Source organism: Homo sapiens, chromosome 3, assembly GCF_000001405.40.
Source record: "Homo sapiens chromosome 3, GRCh38.p14 Primary Assembly".
NCBI lineage: Eukaryota > Metazoa > Chordata > Mammalia > Primates > Hominidae > Homo > Homo sapiens.
Genome location: NC_000003.12, coordinates 31,863,451 through 31,878,822, shown reverse-complemented (window position 1 = coordinate 31,878,822; position 15,372 = coordinate 31,863,451). Strand labels below are relative to the sequence as shown.

The 15,372-nt window shown below is 42.2% G+C and overlaps 1 protein-coding gene across 15 annotated transcripts in view; it reads left to right on the top strand.

Moving 5' to 3' along the window:
* Window positions 1-15,372, top strand: part of OSBPL10 (oxysterol binding protein like 10) — a 416,868-nt gene that overhangs the window by 198,870 nt on the left and 202,626 nt on the right. For 13 of the 15 annotated variants that reach the window (XM_047447390.1, XM_047447386.1, XM_047447391.1 and 10 more), the window contains one exon: window positions 2,311-2,390. In XM_047447390.1, coding sequence (XP_047303346.1) covers window positions 2,311-2,390 — 80 coding nt within the window. Of the gene's footprint in view, window positions 1-1,928; window positions 2,144-2,310; window positions 2,391-15,372 lie in introns of those variants that run through there. The other 2 variants (XM_047447394.1, XM_047447393.1) reach the window with 1 other exon arrangement.

The following is a 15,372-nucleotide window of genomic DNA, read 5'->3' as shown; positions in this document are numbered from 1 at the left end:
ACACACATGGACACGCAGAGTCTATATTATTTATCAAGTCCTGAGGAAAAGTAGTATGTATTAAGTATTGAGAGGTGGTTGAAAATTCTGCCTTTTTTAATGTAACATTTTCTTTTGACTAAGAGCTAAGTATGAAGAAACGGCTGCTTGCTATCTGTTCGTGACCATGATCAGTTGCCTCTGCAAAGTCAGACTGAGGGACTACATTCCTCACCTCTCAGCCCAGTTTTCACCATTCTTCTGCCAAGCTTCACTACCCAAGAGATGGAATAAGCTAATGTTTATTATCTATATACAAGTCATATTTCAGAATCTATAAAACAATCCAAAAACCTCGGAAGTAAAAATGTCTATAGTTGATAAAAAACTTTCAGGAATGTGATAAGATTCATGTTCTCTTGAGATTCATGCAGTGTGCATTCCAGCTGGCTAGATTTATATGGTCCTTGGCTTCGCTTTGCCATTTATTGCTTAATAAATTGTCAGTGCAGAAACAATAGCAGACGAAAAACGTAATGGCACTTTCCACCCTGCCTGTGGTTTATAAAATGATACAAACCCATACAAAAGAAATATCCAACTAATTTGACAATTGAGCCATCTTGTTTTGCCATTGAATCATTAATATCCTTTGGATTATTAAGCCCTAGGTTTTTTTTAGAGGGCAATTTTAATAGCAAATATAGAGGTTTTATGATCTGCATGGAATAATCACAATTGCTAAATTTAGCTAAAGCGTAACTATAAAAAAAAGTCAGGATAAATTTCTGCATGTTTATGGCTTGTCCTTAGCCCGTCCCACAAGCAACTGGCTGTTGGTGTCTCATTTCACATCTTACCTGCACATAGTAGGAGTTGGATCATGGTATCATGAGACGCACAGCTTTTGGGAGTATTTTTGATGCAAAGCCTTTGGATAGTATTGCCACAAACTGGCAATTCTTCAAGTTTACTAAGGAAAAAGGCCCTAATTTCTGCAAAGTCCTTTGTCTTTGGAAGTTCATTACACCTGGTACACACTGTAAATCAGACTTGTGTAACAGGCCTTTTGACAGACAAATCATTTGGGATTTGTAGGGGCCATCTTCATGCCTTAAATAGGACTAAGCAACGAATTTCCCATTTGGTAACTCTAGATTTCTTCTCCTGAAAGTTCAAGCTGAAGTCAGGTTTTATGGACAAATGACACTTAGGCCCAGTTTTGTAAACAGATATAATTTCCAGGGAATCGTTGTTTTTTTTTTTCATAGTCAACATTTATGCAGCTAGTATTATTATATTTATGCAGTTATTTATGTGATTAAATTGATGATTTAGATTTCATTAGAACCTGTTGTGTGCCCATGATATTTGAGAATAACTTCATATATATTATTTGAGAGATAGGTTATAGATGGAAGGACATAACTATACAACATGACTACTTGCACTTTAATATCTCTTTGGGGGAAATTTGAGGCTCTCTAAGGCAGCATTTGGTATCTTGCTCTTTGCAATCGTATGAATCTTTGAGAGCATACTAAAATGGTAATTCAACTGAATGCTTATTTTGTAAATGTTAATAACACCACAATACAGCCCTGGTAGATAGCAAAAGGCCCTGAAAAACTGCCCTTTGAGGCCGGGTGCAGTGGCTCAGCCTGTAATACCATCACTTTGGTAGACCAAGGCGGGTGGATCATGAGGTCAGGAGATTGAGACCATCCTGGCTAACACAGTGAAACCCCATCTCTACTAAAAAATACAAAAAAAATAGCCGGGCATGGTAGCGGGTGCCTGTAGTCCCAGCTACGGAGGAGGCTGAGGCAGAAGAATGGTATGAACCCAGGAGGCAGAGTGTGCAGTGAGCTGAGTTGGCGCCACTGCACATCAGCCTGGGCGACAGAGCGAGACTCCGTCTCAAAAAAAAAAAAAAAAAAGTGCCATTTGATACTCATATTAGCTACACAAGGTTAGAGGCATTTGAAAATAAGCATGTGGTTCCTTGCCTGCTTTCTTTTTAAATAAGTATTATAGAAATGACTTTTTTCAGAGGAGGCTAAAAAATGGCAAAATTATTCTTATAACGGGTATTTCAGAATCCATTTTTCATATGGCTCAAGAGAGGATTTTCCGTGGGATTCAGTGCAGTCTCTGTTTTGGTGTAAGTACAGGCCGCTTGAGAACGTTGTGATCTGTGCTTGCTTCCCCACCTTCTTGCTACCTCTCACTCCCCAGGCTCCCCACCCCCTTAGGTGGGTGTAGAAATAAGTTGGATGTGTTTTGGAACAATCTCTGCAATCATTTCTTTCTCTGTTTTCTCTATTTTAGCTGCTGATGCAAAAGAGAAACAATTCTGGGTGACTCAGCTTCGAGCTTGTGCCAAATACCACATGGAAATGAATTCTAAGGTAAGTCACCGTGAGAAAGGAAGGAGGCATTCGAATAACCAGCCTGGCTTTCAGCCCCATTATTTGTTTCTTCGGGGAAGGTGTTTTTCATGTTATTTTTTAAGTTGCCCACTGCAGTGGAATTCCTACTTGTCCTGCTGCACATAAATTTAAAGCCAGGAGAAATGTAGTAAGATTTTCTTGTAGGTAGAATACGCAGGCACGCAGACACTATGGGAACCGAATCTGGAAAGACACTTTTGCATTCTGTTGTCAATTTAGGCAGCTGTTAATTGGTCTATTGAGAAGCTCTAGTGGATGATTTCATTGTGGAGATGGAGTTGTCAGATTTACAGTTCGTAAATCTAGTAGCCATCACCGATCCTTAAATAAAACCTAGACCCTGAATTGCTTATGTACTTTGCAAGGAGCTTCTGCATTCCTAGTGTATCAAAATGTTCTCGGGTAATTTGGCATCCAAGTATGATTTATTCTCTCCTGGGGACCTTGTGAGATCTTGTGTTAGGTGTGCAGGAGGTAGGAGGTGGGCATTTTCATGGATTATTGTGGAGGATTTACATTCATTAAAATACAGGAAACAATTTCAAAATGCATTTATCTAGGGCAATAAATATTTGTTAAAATTAATGTTCCAAGGGCTACTCCTTTCTATCATTAGTTCAAATATAGTTAGTGTATCCAACTGCTATCTTTTTCTGTATTCCATGCATCCTGTAGAAAGATCCATTCTTCAAACTTCTGATGATTCCATCTGCTAAAACCTGCCTGCTTTCTGGGTCAGGGCCATGTGAAATGTCTTACTTAGATACACCTGGCTGTTCTGCCTCCAAATACAAACTAAAATAATTTCTTCATAATGCTTTTTTTTTTTTTTTTTAAAGAAACATCCCCTTTTCCTTAACTTGCTTAGGATAGTGGCACTTACCTGTAATGCCTCGCTTAACTTGCCCTAAGCCGAATCTTCAGGAACTGTAGGTACAGCCCTCATTCTAAAGCATTTTCCCCCAATTGGCCTTCTTTATTTTCCAAGAATTATAGTAGGAGTTCTCAACACTTAATTGGTACTTTATATACATCTAGGAAGTGCAGTTTGTTTTTGTCTTTTTATATGTGTCTTTACTTTTTATAAACCAGAACAGAAGAGGATAAGAGTAGAAGGACTTATCCCCACCTATTGCCCTATGTGCTCATTAGAGATAGTTGTTCTTAACAGTTCTTGAATATCTTTCTAGTAAATTTAGTATATCTTGGTATGTGTATGTATATATAACTGTATCTACGTAAATACATGTTTTTATACAAATGGGGATCACATGCATACTGTTTTCTCCTTTTTTTTTTTTTTTTTTTACTTAATATATTTTGGAGATCTTTTTGTATTAGGCACATGGATTTACTTGCACTCCTTTTTGGTTGGCCAGATGGTGTTTTTGGGAATGGATGTCAGTGCTTTATTTAAGTCTTCTACTAATGGAAATTTAGAGTTGTTTCCTTATTGTTGTTGTCACATATAATGCTGTAATGTGTGACGTCTTTGTGCATATATATTCTTATACCTCTAGGTGTCTATCTGTAGGATGAATTTATACCAGTGGAATTGCTAGATCTTAGAATATGTCTTTGAAATTTTCATAGACGTTGCTAAATTGTCTTCTACAACGGTTGCCGTTATTTGTACTCCCACCAGTTCTGTAAGAGTTTGTTTCCCCCTCTCATTAACGGGCGTTACTAACATTCAGGTTTCTTCATTCTCACAGATCAAAATTGGATACCTCATTATTTTTATTTTCATGTCTAAAATCATGACTGGGGCCAAGTATGTCTTCAAATGTTTATTGGCCATTCTTAAAAATAATGCAAACTGCCAATTTATATCCTTCACTTGTTTTTCTATTAAGCTCATTTTTTCCTCTTGATTTGCAGTAGCTCTTTGTGTACAAAGGATTTTTTTTGGCCTGTCATTTGTACTGTTGATATTTTCTCCTAGTAGACAATTTGTATTTTGAGTTTGAATAAAATTTTTGCTTTGTAGAATATTTAAGTTTTTGCAGTCAAGTTTATGAGTATTTTTATTTTTGGCTTTTGGTTTTGTATCATATTTAGAAAGGGCATCTCTGGTCCAAAATTATGAAAATATTCTTCACTGTTTTCAAGGAGTTTATAGGTTAATTATTATATTTAAATCACTGATTCATCTGGAATTTATTTTGGGAGTGGGAATTGAGGTAGGGGAACCAACTTTAAGTACATTAATATTTTGATGAATCATTGTAGAGAAGAAAAATTAAAGCCTTCCTAATGGTAGTTAAAAAAAAAAAAAGAATTTGAAGATTCTTGGAAGCAGAGTTTGATTTCCTGATATATTCTCTGGTTAGCTTCAGGAATACTGACTAATCTATTAATATTAGAATCAAAATAAATAATAATTTAGAAGTTTAGGCCTGGAGGATTTCTTATTTGAGAAATGGAGATGAAAGTGCTATTACCACTCATTTATATCCTAGCTAGCATGATCAACTAGGGAATAATAATTTTAACACTGTGAACAGACCTTATTATTCAGTGACAGCATTACCAAATTCAAGGCTGCTTAAGCAGAAGTTAAATAGTGAAAACAAGGATGGGCTCAAAGTGAATATAAACTTGATATCTAGTTAACTATAGTACTGCTGCTTAATTTGCATCATGGTTATTAGGAATATATGCCAAGCCTCCTCTTCACCGTGTTTCTTCTTTATTCTCAGCAGATCAGATCCCTTTACAGTAGACTATAGAGAATACTTTCCCTACAGCTGCTTGGAATTTTGCCTTTTAAAAACTCTTACGTAAAATCGTGTTCAGGGTGGGAAAAAAATAACATTGTGTTCCCTGGAACAAATATTAGGTAAAATGGTGCTATAATTCAAACTCATTTTAGTAAGAACTACAGGATAGCCAGATGCATAGAACTGTAGAGCTGAAAAAGGCTTTAAGGATGACCCAGCCTGTGGTTTCAAAACCCAGACCTGCCTTAGTCACTACCTGATGAAGTTTTTCCCCAGTCCAGAGTGAAATGAGAAAAACAAGGAGGGAATTATTCCCAAAGACAACTTTATTTAAAATAAACGACTACTCTTTTTTTCAAAAATTATGTTGCTTTGCTTTTGGATGGTTAAAATATTCTTCCTTTTTATCGTAGAATATGGTAGAATATTGATTGCATTTTTTTTAAATTGAGGTTTATTAGAGTATAATTTGCATACAATAAAATTTAACTCCTTTTAAGTGTAAAGTTCACTGAGTTTTGACAAATATATAGAGTCGAGTAACCACCACTGTACTCACAATTCCGCCCTGCCAGCAGGTTCCCTCGTTACCCCCTTTATGATCAATCTCCTCGCTGACCCCTCTGCAACTGGCAACTGCTGATTGGTTTCCTATTTATAGTTCTGCTTTTTCTAGAATGTTCTATAGGTAGAATTATATGGCCTTTCACAACAGACTTCTGTTACTTACAAAAAAGTTTTTGAGGCTGGATGTGGTGGCTCACGCCTGTAATCCCAGCACTTTGGGAGGCTGAGGCAGGCAGATTGCTCGAGTCTGGGAGTTCGAGACCAGCCTGGGCAACATGGCGAAACCCTGTCTCCAAAAAAATATGAAAAAAATTAGCTGGGCATGGTGGTGCACACCTGTAGTCTCAGCTTCTCAGGAGACTGAGGTGGGAGGATTGCTTGAGCCCAGGAGACAGAGGTTACATCAAACTGAGATTGCACCACTGTACTCCAGCCTGGGTGACAGAGTGAGATCATGTCTCAAAAAAAAAAAAAAAAAGCTTTTGAATTTCATCCATGCTGTTGTGTGTATCAGTAGTTGATTCTGTCTTTACATTTTAGCTATTTTAGTGGAATTATGGTACTTTTTGTTCTTAATATTCTTACTTGGAAAAATTGAAAGTGTGAATAACCCTAAATCAATTCCCAGACTTAAAAAAAAAAAAAAAACAACAACAAAAACAAAACACGTATTGGCTTTTGAAATCCAGAGGTCTGGCTATCTCGCCCAGCCTCCATTGGTTTGTACACAAAGAAGCCCCAACCAGGAGGCTGTGGTGCTAAGACTGGAACCTGGGTCTCCTGCTTTCTTGTCCTTGCTCTGACATCTAGCCTCACAGATGTCAGCTAGGGCCACCATGTGCTTCCCTCTGTGGGTGGTGGGGTCCCTTCTAGGAAAGTTTCTGATTCTGCATGGACAGAAACTGACAAACAGACAAAATCTCCCTTTTCTCCATGTCACATAGGTTCATCCTGTGGTTTCCGGTGTTACTTGAGGTGGAGTCACCGGGGTATGGGATTGGTCTGCCAGGAAGAATAGAACACAGACTTCCCCTGAAAACACAAACAACAAAAGAAAACATTCGGCCTTTAGTGCATTATAAAAATTAAAGCAGCATTGATGGAGAAAGTGTTGAGAGAGAGTCATAAAGCCATTCTTATGAGAATCTACTTGTGTATGACTTTGAAGGTCTTAAATGCAAGAAATGCAAGAGTGAATTTCTTGCATGTGTGTGCGTGTGCATGTGTGTGTGTGTGTTTTGAGACAGGGTCTCATTCTGTTGCTCAAGCTGGCATGCAGTGGTGCAATCAGTGCTACAGCCTTGACCTCCCAGGCTCTCAATCCATCCTCCCACCTTAGCCTCCTGAGCAGCTGGGGCCACAGGCACACACCATCATCCCCGGCTAATTTTTTGTAGAAACAGGGTTTCTCCACATAGCCCAGGCTGTTCTCCAACTCATGGGCTCAAGCGATCCTCCTGCCTTGCCCTCCCAAAGTGCTGGGATTATAGGCATGAGCCACTGAGCCTGGCTTCTTGTAGTTTTTATCAAGTGGGTGGTCTTAGGAAACTTCTAGGATAGGAAAAGTGGTGTTACAGTGTGTCCGGAATTGGTGGGTTCTTGGTCTCACTGACTTCAAGAATGAAGCCGTGGACCCTTGCGGTGAGTGTTACAGCTTTTAAGGTGGCCTGTCTGGAGTTTTTTCCTTCTGATGTTTGGATGTGTTCGGAGTTTCTTCCTTCTGGTGGGTTCATAGTCTCGCTGGCTCAGGAGGGAAGCTGCAGTCCTTCGTAGTGAGTGTTACAGCTCTTAAGGCGGCGCATCTGGAGTTGTTCCTTCCTCCCGGTGGGCTCATGGTCTCGCTGGCTTCAGGAGTGAAGCTGCAGATCTTAGGGGTGAGTGTTACAGCTCATAAAAGCAGTGTGGACCCAAAGAGTGAGCAGTAGCAAGATTTATTGCAAAGAGCGAAAGAACAAACCTTCTACAGTGCAGAAGGGGACGGGAACGGGTTGCCACTGCTGGTTTGGGCAGCCTGCTTTTATTCTCTTATCTGGCCCCACCCACGTCCTGCTGATTGGTAGAGCTGAGTGGTCTGTTTTGACAGGGCGCTGATTGGTGCGTTTACAATCCCTGAGCTAGACACAAAGGTTCTCCACCTCCCCATCAGATTAGTTAGATACAGAGTATAGACACACAGGTTCTCCAAGGCCTCACCAGAGCAGCTAGATACAGAGTGTCGATTGGTGTACTCACAAACCCTGAGCTAGACACAGGGTGCTGATTGGTGTGTTTACAAACCTTGAGCTAGATACAGAGTGCTGATTGGTGTATTTACAATCCCTGAGCTAGACATAAAGGTTCTCCAAGGCCCCACCAGAGCAGCTAGAATACAGAGTGTGGATTGGTGCACTCACAAACCCTGAGGTAGACACAGGGTGCTGATTGGTGTGTTTACAAACCTTGAACGAGATACAGAGTGCCAATTGGTGTATTTACAATCCCTGCGCTAGACATAAAGGTTCTCCAAGGCCCCACCAGACTCAGAAGCCCAGCTGGCTTCACCCAGTGGATCCCGCACCGGGGCTGCAGGTGGAGCTGCCTGCCAGTCCTGCGCCATGCATTCGCACTCCTCAGCCCTTGGGTGGTTGATAGGACTGGGTGCTATGGAGTAGGGGGCGGCGCTCGTCGGGGAGGCTCGGGCCGCACAGGAGCCCATGGAGGGGTGGGAGGCTCAGGCATGGCGGGCTGCAGGTCCGGAGCCCTGCCCCGCGGGAAAGCTAAGGCCCAGTGAGAAATCGAGGGCAGCGCCAGTGGGCCGGGACTGCTGGGGGACCCAGTACACCCTCCGCAGCCACTGGCCCAGGTGCTAAGCCCCTCACTGCCCGGGCCGGGAGGCCCGCCGGCTGCTCGGAGTGCGGGGCCCTCCAAGCCCACGCCCACCTGGAACTCCAGCTGGCCCGCAAGCGCAGTGCGCAGCCCCGGTTCCCCCTTGCGCCTGTCCCTCCACACCTCCCTGCAAGCTGAGGGAGCCGGCTCTGGCCTTGGCCAGCCCAGAAAGGGGCTCCCACAGTGCAGCGGTGGGCTGAAGGGCTCCTCAAGTGCCACCAAAGTGGGAGCCCAGGCAGAGGAGGTGCCGAGAGCAGGCGAGGGCTCTGAGGACTGCCAGCATGCTGTCACCTCTCAATAGGAATTCAGTAAGCACTGAGGATGAATCAGGAACTGGCCTGTTGGCAGAAGTAATGATAATTAATACTTTATACTAGTGTGAGCTTCATCCATGATTGTGTTACTCTTCACAGAGGTCCTGTGAGGTAGGTGGTATTACTTCCATTTTTATAAATTAGAAAATGGAGGCCAACTGAACCTAAATGACAGGCTGAAAGTTACACAACTGTTAAGTGACTAAGCTGGGACAAAAGCCCAAATTGCTTAGCATGCTCCCTCTTCTTTCCATCTCCCATCCTAGTTTATTGGCATAATTTGAATAGAAAGGTTCACCCCCATCCCCTTGAGCCCCATATTTTCATATATTGCAGAGGAAACAGCTCTGGAATAGGATGTCTGCAATCTTTATGTAATCAAAGGAATCCTTCCTCAATCTTCTAAATTGATTCTGATTCTACAGTTTTTAAAGTGATATTGCTTAAAATTACATCAGCCTTTTGCACTCATTTTTGGGGGATGTAAGCTTATTATACAAGGTGAGCATTTTGGCGGGGTGGGGGGTTCCCGTAAACTTTGAATGAAAAGTGTCTTCTGATTAATTGGATATATCCATCTTTCAATTCATGACATTCTGGTTTAGAAATGATATTGTGGGGTTCAGAGTGAGAAGACCTGTTTAAATCCCTGCTCTGCCAATGATGTATTGAGCATACCTGCTTAGACCATTTTTTTGTACTTTCTGAACCTCTGTCTCCTCATCTTTGAAATGATGATATCTGTCTCATAAGGTCATATAGCTCAAGCAAGAGAGTGAAGTGAAAGCCATTTGCTGAAGTGAAGCACTCCTCGGAGTTGGAGGCTTAGTAGCAGGTGCTGATTTTCAGTAAGGCTGCTGCTTGGAAGTTCAGACTCCTGACCACCTTTGGTGCTTTGACAAATCCCTCAAGGAAAACAACTTTGCTTTTTAATCCATTCGTGGCTATGTGTCTGTTTAGCAGTCTGTTTTTAGATAGGCCTTATTATTTTCAAGTGACCACATCAAAGAATGTAGGATCATTCAAAATCAACAAAAGTCAATATTTGGGAGTGGATTCGGGAGTTGGAGAAATTTATGAATAGTGCTGTTTTCAAGTTACTTTTGACCTTTGTGAAAAGTAGGGTAAAAAGAACAAAAGTCAAGTGATTAGGGAACATTTAAAAGACATTCATACAAGAAAATTTTAGTTTCATTGGCTTTAATTCTGACTGAGAAAAATTTTAAGGGTCAAACTTGATGGAAACTTACAATATTTTCAATAGTTTTTGGATTTTTTTTTTCTGGACATGGAAAGTGGATTCATTTGTGGAGATGACTTGTACACGAAGTGTAATAATAGCTTATGAGTCTGCTGTGATGCTAGTTGGGCTTTAGTATCTTCTCCCTTGATGTTTCATCCCTAAAGGATAAATGTGTGACAGACAGTGATGCTTATCACTTCCTCAAGTAGCGCTTGGCAGCCACCTAGACAATGGCGGGGGAGGTGGAATGTGGTGCTTCAAAACCCGATGGAGCTCGGGGATTGCCTTTTTGGTTCAGGTGGCTGTTTTCTGACTGGCATTCCCCATCCTCACTGCAAATGTATTCTTAGTGCCAATTCATCTCTAACAGCTTGCAAAGGCCTTTTTTTCTATAATGGAAGTAGCATTATTTTTCAAGATTATGAATATTACCTATATGCCATATAAAACATTCAGAAGATAGAAAAGTATTTCAAAAGGTCACCCCAGACCCCACCCCCAGACATAATCTGATGCTACCATTTGGGTGTGCATCCCTCCAGGCACTTTTTAATGTGGAAAAATGCAGAGAGACACATGACTCCATTTGGAGGTCCGTCCTGCCCGTCTTTTTTTTTTTTCTTGTACGTTCATATGCACGGAACTTGTACACGTTTTGTTTTCATGGGCAGTTTACATCTCTGTGAGGAGGGACTAGGAAGACCAGGCTTTGGCCATAGACCTATTCTATGTTTGGGCTGTTTTATTTTTAAAGTGACTGTGAGAGTGTTCAGTTGGGGACCTGTTTCTTAGAACATTTCTGGGATCTCTCTTGTGTTTTATCTTCCTTCCAGTCAGCTACTTGCCCTTCTGTCTGGGTCATTTCTGACCCCTTGTTCTGTCTGTCTGTTTCCCTCCCTCCCTCCCTCCCTCCCTTCCTTCCTCCCTTCCTTTCTCTTTCTTCTTGTCTTACTCTGCGCCCAGGCTGGAGTGCAGTGCCCTGATCTTGGCTCACTGCAACCTCCGCCTCCCAGGTTCAAGCAATTCTCTTGCCTCAGCCTCCTGAGTAGCTGGGATTACAGGTGCACACCACTATGCCTGGCTAATGTTTTGTATTTTTAGTAGAGACAGGGTTTCACCATGTTGGCCAGGCTAGTCTCAAACTTCCGACCTCAAGTGATCCACCCTCCTTGGGCTCCCAAAGTGCTGGGATTACAGGTGAGAGCCACCGTGTCCCGCCTGTGTCCTGTTCTTGATTAGCTCCAAGTGGGAAATTGAGAAAATAAAGGGAAGTGTTTCCTGGTATTTTATACATCTAACAGTATGGAAAGCACAGCAACTTTTTTTTTCCATCTATGGATAAAAAAGCAAGAAAATGTAGATATATGTAGATGTATTTGAAGTAGTTTATGATACTCATCGCATTAGAAATCTTTTCTCTGGGCTTCTAGGACCCCAGGCCTGACTCTCTCCTGGCGCTTACTAATGACCTGGTTTCCCATCTCCTCCACTTGACCCTGTGCTCACTGAGAGCAAACAGTGGTGGCTACACTGAGGATGGCAGTAGGTCCCTGTGAATCTTCATCTGTGTAAAGAGTGTGAAGACACTGTGGTTAGATTGGCATATGGTTAGGGCTTATTTTCCTTGCTAGGTAATTCTAAATTAAAATACAAATTTTAGGATAAAGTCTTATGCAAATTTGGTCATGGAGGAATATGATTGGCTAATACAGGACTTTAAATTCATTATAAGTCATAGGGGGTCTTGAATGAACAGCAAAAGTTACTGAGTTTTGAGGAGTGTATATATTAATGTTCATGCTGGAAGCTGCCCAAATTACAGGTCTTTTGGATTTTTTCTTTTTCCCCATCCCCTTAGAATGATAATTGCACATTAATTCACTTGTGGCCTTGTGGTAGTAAGAGCCCTGTCTTACCCCCGTCCACTGGGGTCTGGACAGCCCCAAGAGTAGGTGAGGCAGCTCTTCCTCACCCCTTCTAGCTGTGAGGGACCTGCCTGTGTTTACAAAACTTCCAATGATAGCTGACACCAGTGATATACCCTAACTCTCCTCCCCCGCCTTTGTCATGGCGTCTATACTCCCCAAGCATGTAGGGGCTTTAGTCAGGGCATGTTAGAGCATTGGACAGTGAGAAAGGAGGCCGTAGAGAAATGGGCTGGCTTGGCACCCTGGCTGACACTGGTTGGTTCCACATCCACTCTGACTAAGGAGAGCATGCTCTGTGGGTGTCTTCTCTTCCTGAAGGCTGTGTGTCCTGAAGCCACTGTTCCCACTTGTGTGGTTGAGTGCACAGGAGTGTGTGGATAGGTTGAGAGACCAACTGATAGACCTCGCCCCTGCTTGCCAGGTGCAGACACCACCCCTGTTTGGGGACATTGAGAAACTTTACTTGGGGAGGCCTAGGGGATGTGTGGACTGCTTCCGGGGAATTAAAGGGTTTGTTTGTTGGGGTGGGAAGGAGGAGACAGGAGTGGGGAATTCTATCCATAGCAAAATGTGAAGGGTGAGGTGATTTGAAGCTGTTTAATTGTTCCTCCCGCCAATCTAGGTTTCTGATGGTGAAAGACTACAACTTTCTTGACTTTTTCCCGCCCTGGGGTGTGAGCCAGAGGGCTTTGGAGAGGTGCTTTGATATTTTGGTTAGGATGCAACACAACGGGAAGCAAGATTAACCCAGTGACATCTGTAGACTCTGAAACCATGTGGTTACCAGGGATTTCAGAAGTCATCCAGCCCAACATCCTGGTCTATCCAACTACTTGGAAAGAAAAATGCACACCAAAGTGTTTACGCTTATACTAAATAAAGATTGATTCTACTCAAAACAACACCCAATTTTATTCTTTTAGAGAGGGTACTGCTGGTAACTCATTGGCTGAATTCTCAGAATTTTGGTGGCAATCTGACAAATGACACTGAATACCTCTTTTATATGATTAAGCAATTTTAGGGTCTCTCAGAACAATTTGAAATAATTCAGAAGTAACAGAATGATTAAAATGTTGTGTCTTAGTCTGTTTGGGCTTCTGTAACAAGCTACCATAGACTGGATACTTTTAAACAACATGAGCTCTTTCATGACCTAATCACCTCCCAAAGGCCCACCTCCTAATGCTATCAACTTGGGGGTTAGGATCTCAACAAATGAATTTTAGGGAAGACACAAGCCTTCAGACCATAGCAGATTGAAAGGGATTCCAAACTCCCTTTGTTGCATTTGTCTAAGAAACAGTAGATGAAAAGGGATAAGAAAATACAGGTTTTAAAACTATGCTGTGCAATATGGAGACCTCTAGCCACATGAGACTACTTAAATTTCATTGAAATAAGATTTAAAAATCAGTTCTTCAGTGGCACACATTTCAAGTGCTCAGTAGCCACATCTGGCTGATGGCTGCGTATTGGACAGCACAGATATAGAGCATTTCCATTATCACAGAAAGTTCTGTTGGATAGAGCTGGTAAAGCTTCCACTATTACTTAATGGTTTCTAAGAAGGGAATTTACCAATATCTAGTTTTGTCTCTTGCACAATGAACAGTTCTTTTAATCTACAGAGGTTTAATGGGGCTCCCTCACCCCTTCTGTCCCTCCCTCCCTTCTTTTCTTCTCCCTTTCTGTTGGGAGTCCTGGTCTTCTTTAGGACCTCGGCATTAAATGCTTGATCACTTTCACTTGTCCACTTGCCTCACCTGTGCAACAGGAACATAGGCCTTACTGATCTGAAGGCAGGAGCTAATGTTCTCTGTGGTCCGGGTCAGCTACTTGTTCACGCCACTGGAGCCATTTATGGAGCAGACATCTCACACGCGGCTTTAGTGAAGGACAAAAGAGCAAAGGAGACTGCTAGTTATGCCTGTCCCTAGCTCGAACAATCGTTAGTGGCACCAAACTTCCTAAGGCAAGTCCAAAACTTTATCTTGGCATTAAATGCCCACTCATTTCGGGTCCAGTTCCTTCCCCTCTATCTCTACCCATCATTCAGTCAGTGTTCTAGACAAACAGCTCCCCAAGCACCCTGCACACCTCCATGCTTCCTTGCCTTTGTCACTGCTGTTTCCTTTGCTGGGAATGCCTTTCCCTCCCCCTCCCTCTTGTGGTTTTTAAAGCTCATATACTTTATATGGTTAAGTATATGGTCGGGTGCGGTGGCTCACTCCTGTAATCCTAGCACTTTGGGAGGCTGAGGCAGGTGGATCATGTGAGGTCAGGAATTCGAGACCAGCCTGGGCAACATGGCGAAACCCTGTCTACCAAAAATACAAAAATGTGCTGGGTGTGGTGGCGTGTGTCTGTCATACCAGCTACTCAGGAGGCTGAGGCAGGAGAATTGCTTGAACCCAGGAGGCGGAGGTTGCAGTGAGCCAGATTGCACCACTGCATTCCAACTCCAGCCTGGGCAACAGAGTGAGACTCCATCTCAAAAAACAAGAAACAGAAAGAGAAAGCCCCTTATACTTCTGTGATGCCTTCCTGACCCCCCAGGCAGCATGGTCTTCTCTCTGTGCTCCCATATATACCAGTACTCACTGACATTATAGCACATCTTATTGTGCCCTCATGGCCCACCGTGTGTCCTCGGAGGCCTGGGACTGTGGGGAAATCATACTGCATCCTCTGCATCTGGCACTGTCATGACACATGGGGGTGGACATAAACCAGTTAGTGCATGTTCAATACTCAGCAAATATCAACGCTGCTTCTTCCTTCTTCTTCTCCTTTACCTGTTAGTAGTAGTATTAGTATCAGTATTAGTAACAGTAGTAGTATTAGTAGTAGTGGTGTTGGATTTGGGTTCCTCAGGAAACTAGATCCAAGATACCACATTTTATTTTTCTAAATATTATTGTTTTGTATTTGATCAAGTATAACAATTTTTTTTTATAGAGAGAGAACTATTAACCAGTAGCTGAAAATCAGTCATGAGTAACAAGCAAAATGTTTCTGAATTTTTAGTTTTTTAAAGAGAGAGGAAACTAATAGTCATAAGGAACACATTTTTGGGAAAAGGAAATAATAGTAAATGGCATCTTGGAACACATTGCTTTGTGGCAGATACTATGCTAAGTACTTTTCTTGGATTATCTTGTGTATTTCTCACAACAACCCTGTAAGGCAGGCACTGCTATGACCACATTTTCTAGGTGAGGACACTGAGGCACAGAGTAGATTTGTGATAAGCCCAAGGTGGCATAGCTAACAAGTGGCTCTTATCGTTTCTTAAAA